At 53.3% G+C, this 2,349-nt stretch overlaps 2 annotated features.

Moving 5' to 3' along the window:
- Positions 392 to 606: a silencer, noted in NCBI's record as "fragment chr5:34565004-34565218 (GRCh37/hg19 assembly coordinates)". NCBI's record gives its function as "represses an EF-1alpha promoter that drives an FKBP-Casp9 reporter gene in an ReSE screen in HepG2 liver carcinoma cells {active_cell/tissue: HepG2}" and the evidence as "EXISTENCE:reporter gene assay evidence [ECO:0000049][PMID:32094911]".
- Positions 589 to 1,559: an enhancer, noted in NCBI's record as "H3K4me1 hESC enhancer chr5:34564051-34565021 (GRCh37/hg19 assembly coordinates)". NCBI's record gives its function as "activates a minimal SCP1, AML or CMV promoter by ChIP-STARR-seq in naive H9 embryonic stem cells {active_cell/tissue: H9 hESC(naive)}" and the evidence as "EXISTENCE:reporter gene assay evidence [ECO:0000049][PMID:30033119]".

The raw sequence follows: 2,349 nt of genomic DNA, 5'->3' as shown, positions 1-2,349 counted from the left end.
TCAAACAGTCTTTGCATGCAGGCTGCCCTCAGAAGACAGCATAGGCTTAAGCAAGACCATGTCCTTCAGAAGAAGGCAATTCCTGAAGCAGGACTCAACTCTGAGCTATCAGTAGCCAACACTCCCTGTAGTTGGAGTAAAGAGAATAAAGTCCTGAAGGGGCCAGCTGGGTGGTACCCCATGGCATTGCCAAACAGAATCACTCCCCTCTGCCAGCTGAACACTATGGCAGGGTGCCGCGCAAACCCCTTCTTTTTCCTCTGGGCAGCCCTTCCGGCATATGATGAGGACCCTGTGGCTAAATTAATGCTCCAAAGTGCAAACTCTAGATGGGGAAGGAGACCCGGAAGGGCCTCTGTAGGACCAGCTTCTTTCCCCAAAACTCCACAAGCAGAGGAGAGGATGCAAACGCTGGGTGCACGCCTCCCACCTGGGGACCCCAAAGGAACACCAGGCAGGCTGGTGGCTGGGAGTGGGGATGCTGTCAGAAGGAAACACCCGCTTGTTAACAAAGCTGGTCAAGGTTGGAGTCATGGATTTTGGAAATTTGGTGATTCCCAGCCAAAAGAAGTGCGTCAGACACAATGACCCGACACGCCCAGGATCAACATCCTCTGGGAAAGAAGAGACCCAGATCAGGACTTTTTTGTTTCCTTGACTAGGTAGGATGCCTCATGGCAGGATGTGGCCGCTTCAGCCGTGGTCACAGAGCCTCTCTCAGCCTGATACAGTATAGCGCGGCCCGTGTTGTCTCTGCACTGCACTGCCGGGACGCTCCCTGTCTTTTCTGTAAACTCACTTGAGCCAAGGGCACCCCATGCTCTCTGCATCTACGGGACACCTCGCACAACTCAGAAGGCCTATTTGCAATATGCCAGCAGACTCTTCCCCTCCCTCCCACACAGGGCGGCTATTCTTAGTTGTAAGGAAACAGATTTTATTTTCTCTAAGCAGAGTGATGGGAAGTTAAGCACAAGATGCCCTACCTCTTGTCTGAGCTGCTTGAACTGAGGGCCGAGAGGGGGGCTTCTCTTAGGGAGTCTGTGGAGGGGTGGGGGACGGTGGCCTCAGGAGCTTCCGCTGAGATTCCAAGGAGAGGCTGCGCTTCCTCAGCCCTGCACGTTCCCCCAGGCCGTGGGGATTAGGGCAGAGGCAGAGACCGGAGTCCCTGGCCCGGGCTGCATAAACTCACTTTCCTGGTGTTCATGTGTGCCTCCCACGCAACTCCCGGAGGTGGGGACTGGGAGCATTTTCACTTGACAGATGAGGACAGTGAGGCACAAAGAACTCAAGGTCATACAGCTTAACGGGGGAGGGGAGAGCTTAAGCTTTAGCAGTGGGGTGGAGCTGGGGTTGGCACACCGACATCCCAAACCTGTGCTTAGAATCACTGCCCTGCACCGTGGGTCAGGAACACTCACCAGTGACCTGGTGGAGTCATGGCTGTAGTTTCCGGGCTATTGGCCAAGCTAACCGCACAGAGACAGCAAGGGCAGTGAGAAGGAACAGCGCCGGGCACCCCGGGACTCATTCCTTGGAGTAAATGAAACCAGTTTATGAAATAAGCACAACTTGACTGGATATGAGAAAAAGCAACTTGATTCATTCCTGCCCTCCTCGGGAAACTTGAATAGTGCATTTCCTACCTCCAGAGAGGATCTCAGGCAACACCCATTACTTTTCCAGAAAAGCTTAGATGATTGCAGGTGAAATCCAATGTGCTATCTAAACTCTACACAGTACCTGGTTTAGAGCACCCTCTCTTTCCTCAGTGTATTAGTGTCTAATGGCTGCCATCACCAATGACCACAAATGGGCTGGCTTAAAGCAACTGAAATGTATTCTCTCACAGTTCTGGAGGGGAGAAGTCTGAAATCCTTTTTCCGAAAAGGTCACATAGGTAGGTTCTGGGGGGCAGGGTGTGAACACGTGTGTTGGGCAGGCACCATTTAACTCACTACACCCAGCTGGGGCCTACTTTAGTTTGGGAAGCCTGCAGAGTATGTGGGCGTGTGGGTGGGGGTTCATCTTGCTTTGCCTTGCTGTTGGCCCCTAGGTGGGCTGGCCCAGGACCAGGGCGGAGAGGAAGGCGGTGGGCAGGCTGAGGTGAACCTGACTGCTGCCTATGCATTCCAAGGCCGGTGCCTTTGGACATGGCAGGTGTTGGAGGTTGATTTTTACTACATGGGGCAAGTTTATGGGTGATTAAACCCCCACTGCCCTCAGCCCTCTAATTTCACAGCTGGTCTATGGGAAAGACACATGCATCCTTGGCCCATATGATTCTGGAAGTGCTGCTGTTTCCATTGTGGTCACCTCCCACCACTGTGTCCCCTGGCAAGAACACCA

Source organism: Homo sapiens, chromosome 5 (assembly GCF_000001405.40).
Source record: "Homo sapiens chromosome 5, GRCh38.p14 Primary Assembly".
Lineage (NCBI taxonomy): Eukaryota > Metazoa > Chordata > Mammalia > Primates > Hominidae > Homo > Homo sapiens.
This window is presented reverse-complemented; position numbering and strand designations above follow the sequence as displayed.